Source organism: Homo sapiens, chromosome 4 (assembly GCF_000001405.40).
Source record: "Homo sapiens chromosome 4, GRCh38.p14 Primary Assembly".
Classification (NCBI taxonomy): domain Eukaryota; kingdom Metazoa; phylum Chordata; class Mammalia; order Primates; family Hominidae; genus Homo; species Homo sapiens.
Genome location: NC_000004.12, coordinates 90,627,689 through 90,641,854, shown reverse-complemented (window position 1 = coordinate 90,641,854; position 14,166 = coordinate 90,627,689). Strand labels below are relative to the sequence as shown.

Here is a 14,166-nt window from a genome sequence, read left to right as displayed (position 1 = left end):
CACCAGTTAGGTACAATGAAGGTGGCATTATTGTTAAAACTGTGGGTTGCAGTTCGTTTTCTTATAAGCAATCAAATATTATGCATGACTAGCAGATAATATAAGTACACATACCAGAAAAGAAATCTCTGGCATATGGGTATACATTTGTTCACCTTGATCCTGCTCCACTTGCATTTTGACATCATATAAATATCAGAAGATACATTGACAGCATAGGAGTAGGCAAAATATTTCTGCCATTTTTACAGGCATAGGGATACACAAGAAAAAGGGTTGTGGGGAGTAATGTTGCTGTACAGGGAACCACTCGGATTACATACACTTGGAAAGTGAGTTTTTTAATATAAGATTTCACATACATAAGAAAACATGTATACATAATTATTTTGAAAAAATGTAAGAAAATATATTGTAAATAATAATACCTAGAAAGACCTCTGTGTGCCCCTTCGTAACTGCACATGCCTTCCCCCACTACCTCTAACAGATAATCTTACCCTGAATACGGTGTTTAGCATCTTCTTACTCTTTAAATCTTTTTTCTTATGGTCTTACTATATACATATCTATTACTTAACAACATATTATTTAAGTTTGCATATTTTTAACTCCATATTCTGTATGAGGATTTACCTGTGACTTGATTTTTGTACTCAAAATATTTTTTGTGGGCATAAGAATACAATTAACATAAAATATATTTTAGATTAATATATTATACCTCATTGGGAGAGTAATGTAATAAAAACACCAGGGAAAACTTAAAATTATCTAGTAGTTTTGAACATGCACCATTACACTTTTGGAAGAGACCAGATTTCCACGGAGAGATTAGGCACCCTGCCCAAAATCATATGCACCTAGTAATTGTGAGAGCTGAAATTCAAATCTGAGCAGTTTGTTCTAGTACCTTGCATTAGTCTGTTTTCATACTGCTATAAAGAACTGCCCAGGACTGGGTAATTTAAAAAAGAAAGATGTTTGACTCATAATTCAGCATGGCTGGGGAGGCCTCAGAAAACTTACAGTCATGGTGGAAGATGAAAGGGAAGCAAGGCACCTTCTTCACAAGGTGGCAGGAAGGAGAAGTGCAGAGCGAAAGGGGAAAAAGTCCCTTATTAAACTATCACGTCTCCTGAGAACTCACTCACTATCACAAGAACAGCATGGGAGAAATCATCCCCATGATTCAATTACCTCCACATGGTCTCTCCCTTGACATCTGGGGATTATGGGGATAATGGAGATTACAATTCAAGATGAGATTTGGGTGGGGACGTAAAGCCTAATCATATCATAACTGTATCCTGTGATCACTATGCTAGATTTATTCTGCAGTATTAAGTAATAACATTAAGTAATATAAATAATACTTTTTAAAAGAAAAATGATACCTCAACATGGAGAATACTCTATAAAATGAATTTTTGTTTATCATTCTTGATTAACCTAATAAAATCTATAGTTTCCTTCCAAAACTAAGACATGTCTTACTTTAAAAGCTATTTTTAAAACTCAGGACATCTATTATTAATTTTCATGTCTTTCACATTCATAGACCAATGCCATAAAGGAATTAACAAACAATTTAACAACTGAGAACTAGATGGAAATGGTTATTTCTATTCTAGGCTTTGACTATCCAAGTTAACACTTAGAATAGGTTGTTTTATATATTGAAATTCCTAAAGCTTATTACTATGCTTTTGGAATTAACTTCAAAGGATTGCCAAATCGATTGCTTATCTTTTCTTATCCTACTTACTTTTCAGCACCTCCCCAAGCTGACCTTCTTGAAGCAATATTTTCTCTTGGCTTTTTGAAAGACACTATGCTCTTAGTGTTCTTCCTAGCTCCCTGGACACTCTTTCTCTTGATTTTCCAATCATTAAATATTGGCACATCCTAATCTGGTTTTAAATACAAATTCTCTCTTCCATAACTTTAAATAGAATCTATATGATCATGAATAATCAATCTACATTTCTAGCCATGATCTTGCTGGATGTACAGACACATTAATTCAAATTTCTGCTTGACACATACATTTGCATGTTGAAATAAGAATTTCAACCTTCACCTGATCAAAATAGAACTCTTGTTTCCTTCTGTCTTGCACAGGTTACTCCTCTTCTAGTCTTCCAAGGCTCATAAAATGGCAATATAATCTGCCTGTAACTCAAGTGACAACTTTCAGAGTAATGCTTGATTTTTCTCTATCTGTCACCACTCTATTCCAGTTCACAAGCAGGTACTATTGACAAGACTTCAAAAAAACACTACACATCTCTTCCCTTCTATCTCAATTTCTTTCATTCTGGTCTGTCACCCTGAGTTCTCACCTGGAACAACCACAGTATATGTTGACTCTAAACAGGAAATTCAATTGACATGTTGTAGTACTTTTGTGGAGTGGTGTCAAGTCAAATGTGCTGCCATAATTGAGTATGTCCAGAAAAGCATAAATGGCAATAATCCTTCTAGTTTTAGTTTTAGATAGTATGGCTTTTATTAAAAATTATTGGTAAATTATTTTAATTTTATTAAAAATTATTGATAATTTTATTGATATTGATTCAATATTGATTGATATTGATTCAATGAATACAACACATTATGCTATTAAGAAGCATTTACTGATATATATGTGTATATATATATAAAGAATATATATATGCTTTTTTAATTGTTATATTTTTAAGTGTTTAAGAAATCTCAAATATTTCACACGTGGCTTGACATAGTTGGCAATTATCACACAAGTAAGATCACTGCAGTGGCTCATGTTCATGAGTGCCTACCCCAAACTCACACTGTGATGTTCTGTACACATTTTATTGCTTAATTGTCCAAATAATCCTATGAGGTAGTTATTAATATTACATATGATGAAACAGAAACTTAAGAAAACATTAATCAACTTACAGTAGCTATACAATGGCAGAAGTGAGATTCACACCTAGATCTCTACGATTCAAAACAACTGTAATCTTTACCACTGCAATATACTTCCTCCAGTGGAATTTTGTGAGTGAAATGGGGTTGGGGTTAGGAAAGACTTTTTCTCCACCTTCTCTAATCTCTCCAAGAGGACTGTTGAAAATTAGGGTTGTTTACAAAGCAAGAGTCATGGAATTATACTTTCCTCCTCTCCTCATCTATTTTCAAGACCAAGTTGTACAGCAGCATAACCAGGCCTTATTTATGTAGGCAGAATACTGTTACTAAAAATCTATCAGTCTAAGAGATGTCATTATCTAAACCAGAGGTTTCTCCAGGGAGTATACAATGGGATCCATATGTGTATATGAAGACTATGTTACCTTGTAAATTTTTTTAACCTATGTTATTCTAACAATGAGGGAAAATAACTTGTAATAATTTATAAGAACTGACAATACTAAGTTAGTCTGTATGATAAATGGTCATTGTTGTTTTACAGGTCTCACAAGGGAAAACTAAAAACTCCACAAATGGGAGCACTGACACTGGCACTTAACAGTTGTGTAATGATATTTCATGTGTTGCCATCCAAAATGTGTAATTTGATGAGTTTTGATAAACATGGAAACCTGTGCAACAACCACATGATTTGAGATTAAAAAAAATTATTATCTTAAAATTTATTTAATCAATGTAGAGCTGTCCTAAAAGATAAAATGTGGTGCTGCAGAGTACCTAGTTCACTCACACAGAAGATGCCTTTTGTTTAAGGTTTTAAGGTATGGCCCATCGAACTTCACAGTCAAACAATTAAAATTTCAAAAGCTTAAAGGAGTTATCCCGCACCTATTTCAAGTTAGAGTAGGGCTTATCTTGAAGCGATTTGTGGGTACGTATTTTGTCTAAGGAAGTGATTCCCGAATAAGGTTCACAGGCAACCCCAAAAGGAATTTAAGAGAGTTATATTCACAGAAACACTTTCCAAGTTTGGTCTTTAAGGGACAAAGAGTAAAATGAAAAGGGCCTTTGGATACCAATGTCTACAACTACAAATAAGGATGAAGAAACTATTCTGCTGCAAAACATGTGCTACCTTTATAAGAAAGAATTGCCCAGAGGTTAGAACAAAGAACATAGAGGGCAGAACAAAGAGCAAGAATTTTTAGTAGGCCTTGAATCCTAACCAAAAAACTACTAACATGTGTATTAGTTTACAGGTTAAAATGGAAAACTATACTTGAGTTGCTGTGTTTAAACCTCATCTACGGCTATACACACTTTAGATTTTGAGATTCTGCACTTTGAATTGATGCTGTAATTGAATGATACTTTGAATGGCCTTGGGAGGGGCTGAGTGTACTTTGCATATGAGAGGAATACACCATTGACTGGTAGACAGCCTCCAAAATGGACCACAATGTTCCCTACCTCCTGGTATTCATACTTTACATATTGTTCTTCCATGCTAAATCAAGTTTGATCTTTGTGACCAATAAATTTGACAAAAGTGATGGTATATTACTTCTGAGACTAGGTTACAAAAGACATTGTGCATTTTGTCTTCTCTCTCTCAGATTGTGTAGTCAGGGGGAAGCCAACTGCCATGTTGACCAGCGAAAAGGCTACATGGTAAGGAACTGAGGCCTCTTGAGCACCAGCAGTGAAGAACTGAGTCCTCCTGCCACAGCAAGTGAGTGAACTAGGCAGTAGATCTTCAAGTTTAGCCAAGAATTCATGACTACAGCCATTGTTGACATCCTGAGTGCAAACTAATGAGACGCCTTCAGCCATAACCCATAGGTAACTACTCTCAAACTCCTAACCATAGAAACTTTGAAATAACAAATATTGATTTAGTCTACTAGATTTTACAGCTGATTTGCTACACAGCAATATATAATTTTATGACAACTTTATATTCTTCAATGCTATTAAATTTACTGCTAATTCTGTCATTTTATTATTAACTTTTTTGTAGATTTCTTAGGTTATCTGTATAAACAAACATATCTGCTCATACATGCAGTTTTACCTTTTCTTTCAAATATTTATGCCTGTTACACTTTTTCTTGCCTCATTCCTAGCTAGGACCTCTAGCACACGTACAGCAAACGTGGTGAGTGGATATTCTTACCTTGCTGATAATATTAGGAGGAGAAGTTTCAGTGTTTTACCATCAAGTATGAATATTAGCTATAGAAGTTCCCTTGTACTACCAGTAAACTGAGGTTTATATTTTTATTTGAGCCATAAATTGGTTTTCAATTTTTCAAAGGTACTTTTTTCATCTATTAATACAGTCTTGTGCTTTTCTCTTTTTAATATTTTAATATAGTAAATTGTATTGCTTGGTTTTTGGATGCTAAAAAAACTGGAATGAAAGCAAATAGGTCATTATTTACATATTGCTACACGTATTTACTAATTTTTAAGTGACTTTTGCATCTATATTTATAAAAAAATTCTGTAATTTCCTTTTTCCTATAAGGATTTTTGCCAATTTTTTTTAATAGGCATATGTTGGCCACATAAAACAAGATGAGAAGCATAATGTGTCTCTATTTCCTGAAAATTTTTACATAATATCTGTCATATGTATTTCTTTTTTAAATAATAAAATACATTAATTTAGTACAAGTTAGGCTATTCAGATTTGCAATTTCTTATGTCACTTTGGAAAGCTGTATTTTTCAAAAAAATTGTTTTTGTCATTTATGTTAATTTTTTGCCATAATGTTCTTTGTAACCATGTCTTATTATCATGTTGATGTCTGCAGGATTTGTAGTGATTATTCCTCCCTAGATTCATTGCTGGCACTAGTATTTATGTTTCTTAATTTTTCTATAATCTTTTTTTATCAGCCTTTTTTTGAACTTTTTCAAAGAATCAATTTGGGCTTATTATTTGTTTTTAATTTTATAGAGTTTTGTTCTTTATTATGTCTTTCTACATGCTTCGTTTGGATTTAATTTGCCCTTCTTTTATTAGCTACCTTTTTTATTGATATTTCATAGTTGCACATATTTTTGGGTGCATGTGATCTCTGAATGTGTGTATACAATGTGGAGTGATTAAATCAGGGTAATTGCTATATACATCACCTCAAACATGTATCTTTTCTTTGTGTTGGGAACATTACAAATCTTCTAGCTATTTTGAAATATAACAAATTATTATAAACTATAATTTCCCAATTGTACTATTTAATACTAGAACTTTTTTCTATTCAACTGTTTTTTTGTATCCATTAACCAACATTTCAAGGAAGAAAGTTAAAGGTTACGAATTATCGCACTCTTTATTTGAATATAAACATTTAAAGTCACAAATTTCCCTGTAATTATAGTTTTAACTATATCCAGAAAATTTTGATTTGTGATATTATTATCATCATCTCATTGGAAACATTTAAAAATTTCCTTTCAGCTTTCTAAATTCGTCTGTGGGTTATATAGAAGTTTGTAATTTAATTTCCAAATATTTGATGCTTTTATAGTTATTTTATTATTTTTGATTCCTAGTTTCATTCCATTTTTCTCAAAAAATGTACCCCATAGATGTCTACCTTTTAAATTTAATGGGACTTATTGTGTGACCCAGTATATAGTGTGTCTTGACGATGTTCCACTCGCATTTGAAAATAATATATAATTATTTTATTAATTGTAGTATTCTATAAATGTCAATTGGGTTAAAAATATTGATAATATTGTTCAAGTCTTCTAGAAATTTTCTGATTTTTTCATTTAGTTGCTTTATCAATTACAGAAAGAAATGTTTTAAATTCTTCAACTGTGATTGTTAATTTGTTTATTTCTTCACTTAGTTCTGTCAGTTTTTGCATTGTGTATTGGTGAAACAAGCCATCCACATGTTTGATTGCTGTGTCTTCCTAAAGAACTGACTTTTACCATTATGAAGTATGGCTTTCTGACTGTGGTGAAATGTCATATATTTAGATCTACTCTGATACTAGTATAGTCACTCTAACTTTCTGCCATTTGATGTTTTCATGAAACTTGTTTTTCTAATTTTCCTTAAACATATTTCTGGACCAGCAAAAATAAATAAATAAACATAAAGAAGGTAGCAAAAACTTGTAATTTTGTTATTTTCAAATGATAAGTATAAAGAGAATTCTGATTATTAGACTGCTGTCTATATTTCCATGGTAATTGCTTGATTTGGATATTTCTTTACTTTATGACTCTCCACTGTGGCCATTTCCTTCTCTAATTATCCATTGCTGAAGTTCCTACCCTATAGACTTTTCTTTCCATCTCAAGATGTGCTGATAGGAAAATGTCATTTAGTTATAAAATCCTTATTAATGCCCTTTGAATCAATTACTGAAATGCAGTAAAAATAAACTCTTTAAAAATTCCCACCAAACAGTGACAAATGATGAAGTAGAAAACACTGTAAATTTTATAATGTAATTGCAAATTACGCTGAAAAAAAACCAAAAATTTTGCATTGAATATTATCCTTGAAAGTCTTAAATTATTATTCCTTTTAGGTAAAATGAAATTAATGTTTGAACTATTAGGTAGTAGAGAAAAGAAAAAGAAAAATAGATTCCAGCTCTTTAATCAATGGCGGGTCTTTTGCAAATGTTTCACAGCCCCAATATTTGCATCAACTATATGGGCCTGTAAATTATATAAATTTTCAAATAAGTAGTTCCTTGATTTTTACTTATCTGGCTATTTTGTTAGAATAGATACAGCTTATTATATCAAAATATATTTGTTTGATAAAGAGAATAGAGCAAACTAAAAGGAAGCATTAAAACAAAACCCACCTCTGTAGATATTAAACATTTTCTTTTATAGATCATAAAATTTTTTAAAAATTTAAGAAAAAGAAGAAAAAAATGATAGAGTTCTCTTCCCTTACTACAGTCATGTCTTTTCCCACTAATACTAGAGAATAAAGTGACAACAATAGAATTTCTAAAGGCCCAACATCGGTCATTTTTCTAAAAATAAAGGAGTTGAAATTTGAAGTTGCTGGGAATATGAATGTGCATTTTAATAAAAAGAAACTGATCTTTAAAAAAGGATGACAGAATTTGGAGTGTGATACTCCATTCAGATTATTAATTCTTAGCTCACCTCAAAATTAAAATCTAGGAGGTCGACAGACCATCACTAGGAAAACGGTAAGCTCAGCCAAACAAATAAGAAGTAATAATGGCTTTATACCAATAATTTTATGTTTATTAGATTAACTGATTTGTGGTTTTATAATGATTTATAGTTATCCTTTTCCTCTGAAATTGCAATGATGTTCAGTGAAAACAAAATTTTCTCTGTGTGAAAAGAGTGAGTACATATGGAAATAACCAGTCTCTAAACCTCTAGGCCTTTCTTCTAATCTGGAAGATTTAGCAGATAATTTTAAAAATACAGTTAAGGAATACCATAGCCATCTACTGCATAGAAAGATCTGAAAAAGCTTCAGGAAATTATATCTACCATTGATAGACTTGGGCATACAAATGGGTCTTGATTAAATTAAATCTAGTAATTTTTGTGATGTGTCTTTATTTCATATTCTGAGAAAAAAACATATTGTACACTTCTTTTAAAGAGGAGAAATTTACTACATACTTACTTTGATCCTCATTCCATCAAGCACTCAAGTTTATCATTTGTTTTCTGCCAACAGTTATTTTAATGGTAGCCTGGAAACAGAATGAAATCCATTTCCTTTCATTTATTTATTAATAAACACTTATTAAGCAGCAAATACCTTCCAGGTTGAGAAGATATAACAAGGTACAAGTTCACAAGATCATTTTCCTGCATCTTAGAATATCACTGGGAAAAGGAAGATTAGCAATTAAAATGAGGAGACATAAGTGCTCCAATGATAGAGGAAATATAGACTGTTATACAACCTGTAGAAGAACTTGTAAGGGCAATTAGGAAACATTTAAAGATATACAGGGACTGACTTGATCACATAATCATTTTAGCCTGACAGCAATGAGTAAATTGATTTGATAGGTGGGAAGACTAGAAGTAAGACCAGTTGTGAAGTAACTTCAGTAAAATGGACCATCATTGATGTAGGAGCAGTTGGAAGAAGAGATGCATATAAGCAGATCTGAAAAGTATTCAGGAGCAAGAATCTCCTAAGTAGAGGAAGGTTTCAGGATGTTTAATACCAACAGTCTAAAACACAATATCCTAACCCAGTGCTTTTCCAGTATACTTGGAAGAGACACTGAGAAAGTCCTCACCATTCACATGCTTGGGCCAAAGACAGGTTTACTGAAGCAGAATATTTAGAGCAATGCCTACCCATTACTCATCTCCATCTCTGGTTCCTACCCAAGATGATTCAGATACAAACACAATGTTAGATTCACTTTTGCAGGTGTATTCACTTTCAAAATTATATTTTATTGAAAGTATATATTATATATTATAAAATAGCATAACATATATAATCCCCAAACCTGGATTAGATTAATATGATTTATGTTGTTATGGTGATGGCACAAAATGGAAGAATTACTAAGTGCCAAATGAATTACTTGATGAAAATTTTTATTAAACCCAAAGTAGGTAGAATAATAAGTAATGCAATTACAGTTAATGACAAAATAACTTTTAAAAAAATCTGGAATGAGCTAATGGGATTTAACATTTTAATAGCAATCTAAGGTTGTTTAGCCAGTAATAAAAATTGCAAAATAATATTAAACATGTGATACCTCACAAAAAAATTTAGAAAGAAGTAAATTTTATAGGTAGCTTTAAAATATTACAAGTAGATCTCAGCGTTAATGCTTATATTCATTAAAATGCCATAAGTAATATGGACTATATAGATAAGAGTACTTGAAAGATAGAGTACAGGTCGAGTACCCCTTCTCTAAAAGGCTTGGGACCAGAAGTGTTTTTTGAATTTTTTCAGACTTTAGAATATTTGCATATACCTTATGAGATGTCTTGGGAACGGGACCCAACTCTAAACATGAAAGTCATTTATGTTTCATATATACTTTATAGACATAGCCCAAAGGTAATTTTATACAATATTTTTAATAATTTTATGTATAAAACAAGTGGTTTAAAGTACTTATATGTGGAATTTTCCACTTGTGGTGTCACGTCAGTGCTCAAAAAGCTTTAAATTTTGGAGCATTTTGGATTTTGGATTTTCAGATTAGGGATGCTCGACCTGTATATTTATTTAGCCTGCTGTGTAGAACTTTCCAAGGAATTATTTTTATTACTCCACAACCCTGAAACAGTTCTAGAAACTTTAGGAAAGTCATCTATTAACACTCTGTCGAGGCATCCTTCTAGCCGCTAGTCATTAACCACAACCCTAGAGCAATCTTAAACAGATTAAGCCAAAAATTTTCTGTGATCTCACTATTACTATCTCTGGATATTTTCAAATGCTATTTGTAGAAGATGTTCCCTCAAAAACAACAAAGGATAACTTGATTTGCTCACAAGAAAGGTGTACCTTTATTAGCAAAAGTGTAAAAATATCATGAATGCATTGCATTTCCACTAAGTCATAGGTTTCAAAGAGATCAATGAGAAAAAATATACAAATGCAATACTCATGTAACAAACCAAAAATCTCAAATAAAAGCATATTCTAATATGACATGTAAAAATTAAGTAATTATTTTACCTTAAAATCAAATAGGTACCTCCTGCCATTAAAAAATAATCTGTGAACTTGGCCAGGTGCGGCGGCTCATGCCTGTAGTCCCAGCACTTTGGGAGGCCTAGGCGGGCGGATCACGAGGTCATGAGATCAAGACCATCCTGGCCAACGCAGTGAAACCCCGTCTCTACTAAAAATACATAAAATTAGCCGGGCATGGTGGCAGGTGCCTGTTGTCCCAGCTACTCGGGAGGCTGAGGCAGGAGAATGGCGTGAACCCGGGAGGCGGAGCTTGCAGTGAGCTGAGATCGCGCCACTGCACTCCAGCCTGGGTGACAGAGCGAGACTCCATCTCAAATAATAATAATAATAATAATAATAATAATAATAATAATAATCTGTGAACAAAGATTGAACGATTGTGCATCATAAAAATCAGCTCAAAATAGGAATGAATTTTTTATATTAAAATATATTGTTAATCTAAATGAATATTGATATTAAACTCCAATTTAGTAATGAAATGGGAATGGAAGTTTAAAACTTCCTGGCTTAGGGAACATTTCAAAAAACAATTTTCTTTAGAGGCCTCTATTATGAATATCTTCTTAGTAGAACTGTTGTCTATGCTAATCATATAATACTATTGCTTTTCCCTGTTGATAATAAAGACCCTCTGCTCACTGAATGGGCTGCACAAACATATATTAAGTATTGTTCACTCTACATCAGCTTTAAAAAATCAATTCTCTTCAGCTTCTTCGAATACCCCTTAATAAAGAAAACCAGGTGGCAGTATAGAAACCATCTAAATATATTCTGAATATTGACTTTATAGTGAATATCACTGAATATTTTAAAATTATAAAATTAAGTACTCTAAGAAAGCCTCTTGACACCTTCTGTCAGCTCTTTCTACTTATCTTTTGCTTTAACTGATTTGTTATTAAAATTCAGACCAAACAGAGGTAAAAAGCTGAATAGTTGAGACTAGTATCTTCTAATATAACAGCTGTTACTAAGTTTGTCTTGTTCAAAGAGGATCAGGTTGCATGTTAAGCCAAAGGTGGAAGAAATTCAAACTTATCTATTCATTTGCAGGCAAATATTTATGTTGTCAGTATAGAATCATACAGTTATACACATAGTAATGTGCTAGTCAATATTTAACAACAGGCTTGCCAAAAATAAGAGGCCCTAATTTGCAGTGTTTGCCAATTTCTGAGGCATAAATACTCCCACATGGCTGATTTCAAGCTACCAAAATGACATAAATGAATCTACATGTTGGAAATCTGTACAGTCAGAATTATATAGTACTTCCACCATGTGATTCTAAAAGATGTAAATAATCTCACAAGTGTAGATAATAGTAAAACAAATAGAAAACACATTTTGAATACTGATTACCCTTTTTGAAAGTAATTGATTTAAGTTCATATAATTTATTTTGATGCCTTTGCTGAACTGCCAGCTCATATAATTTCTGAAATTCTAAGAGTAATCAAGTATAAGCATACCGCTACAGCACAACACATTATAGGATCCAGAATATCCAGAAACAAAGGCTGCCCTAGAGATATAACCTGTATGGGACACAGAGAAGGTATCTTCCAGCTTTTGTTTATGATATGGTTTGGCTGTGTCCCCACCCAAATCTCAGCTTTAATCATAATAATCCCTATGTGTCAAGGGTGGGGGAGGCAGGTGGAGATAACTGAATCATGGGGGCAGTTCCCCACATACAGTTCTCATGGTAGTGAATAAGTCTCATGAGATCTGATGGTTTCATAAATAAGAGTTTCCCTGCACAAGCTCTCTTGCCTGCCGCCGTGTAAGACGTGACTTTGCTCCTTCATCGCCTTCTGCTGTGATTGTCAGGCCTCCCCAGCCATATGGAACTGTGAGTCAACTAAATCTCTTTCCTTTATAAATTACCTAGCCTCAGGTATGTCTTTATTAGCAGTGTAAGAACAGACTAATACAGTTTATAACAGCTGATGAGAACACATTACTGGAAGCCCCAATAGTCTATGGCATTCATTTCTTTTATACTGCCTTTTTTCTTCCTGATTCAATTCTAGCCTCCAGTGGTAGCTGCTAGCATTATTATCAAAGTGTTCAAAAAGCAAATATTAGCAATCATTATAACATAGGGACCATTAATTCTAAATAATAATATTTTTCTCAATTCTTTATTAATATCTCCAATCAATAAAGATAAATCTACTTAAATATAATAGGATGTAATACAAAGACACAAATTTCAGGCTGTTGCCCTGAAATTACACTTACTTGAGAAAAATAATTTAAAATTTCTAACTCTCACTTCACATGTCTATGAAGTAATAATAATCACGGGTATACTTTGTATAGAAATCCCTCAAATAAAACAACTGTTGTAATTATAAAAATCAAACCAAAGCAAACTTGAGTCCTAAAGAATGGCTGATTTCTGGGCACAAGGGTAAAAGAATCTCATTATGCATTTTCCTGACTAGCTCACTGTTTCAGTAACTAGGCCCAAGCTGTGGGGAGGGCAACTACATTCCTTAGGCAAAATCATTCAGACCTTCAGATTGAATTTTACTGTAATTCAATTTTACTGAATTCTGATTATTGGAACAAAAATGACTAAATAAACTACTTTTATGGTATCATATAAACAAAGACCCAGTATCATTGATGTGAAATACATTTAATAGATTTCTCAATAGCTTTATAATAGCATGTAACCATAACTATATAGCTGATACTCATTTCTCCTTACCTGACAAATAGGGGGATGCTTGGGATCAATTTATTCTTTTTTAAGTATTTCGTAAACTCTTACAATTTTAAGGCTAAAGAGTACCTTATAAACCAGAACTTCAAAACACTCATTTGACATATGAAAATAGCTAAGCTCCAAGAGGAAACCTGACCCCTGCCCAATGTCATGTAGTTAATTACTGACAGAGCAGGGTCTAACCACGTCTGCAGACTTCATTGTCTACCAGCACTGAAGGACATTAATCTTAGAGGAAACCATTACCTCTTGAAGAACTCTCTTCATCTTTAATAATAACGTCTTGACTGCCGTGCAGTCCTGTAACATCAGTCTGAATGGCAGAGAATCTATGCCTCCGTTTTCTTCCACACCTTGTAGAGGCCAATCCGCAGATGGACTGTTGGGCATTCGGCTGATGTGGGAACACCTGGCTTCTTGATCAACGTCCTTTGTTAATTTCAGGGAAAGATTCCTAACAAGAAAAAAAAAAAGAACAAAAATTACAGTGCAGCATGCTTAGAGCAGTATTTCCCAAGTTGTTAATCAATGTTTCTAGTATCCTAGAAAGTATTTCTTGTGTCCTCATTTCATGATATTAGTTTATTTATTTATTTATTTTTTGAGATGGAGTCTCACTCTGTCCCCCAGGCTGGAGTGCAGTGGCGTGATCTTGTATTCTTAGTAGAGATGGGGTTTCACTATGTTAGCCAGGATGGTCTCAATCTCCTGACCTCGTGATCCGCCTGCCTTGGCCTCTCAAAGTGCTGGGATTACAGGCGTGCACCACTGCTTCCATCCTCATGATAGT

General features: G+C 33.1%; 1 protein-coding gene across 35 annotated transcripts in view; it reads right to left on the bottom strand.

The window, feature by feature from the left end:
* The window catches only part of CCSER1 (coiled-coil serine rich protein 1), a 1,477,902-nt gene that overhangs the window by 963,441 nt on the left and 500,295 nt on the right, over positions 1 to 14,166 (bottom strand). For all 35 annotated transcript variants that reach the window (XR_001741218.2, XR_938733.3, XR_938734.3 and 32 more), the window contains one exon: positions 13,623 to 13,830. Coding sequence is in view for 30 of the 35 variants with exons in the window: in XM_011531936.2 (XP_011530238.1) it covers positions 13,623 to 13,830 (208 nt within the window). In the remaining 5 variants the exon portion in view is untranslated. The remainder of the gene's footprint in view (positions 1 to 13,622; positions 13,831 to 14,166) is intronic.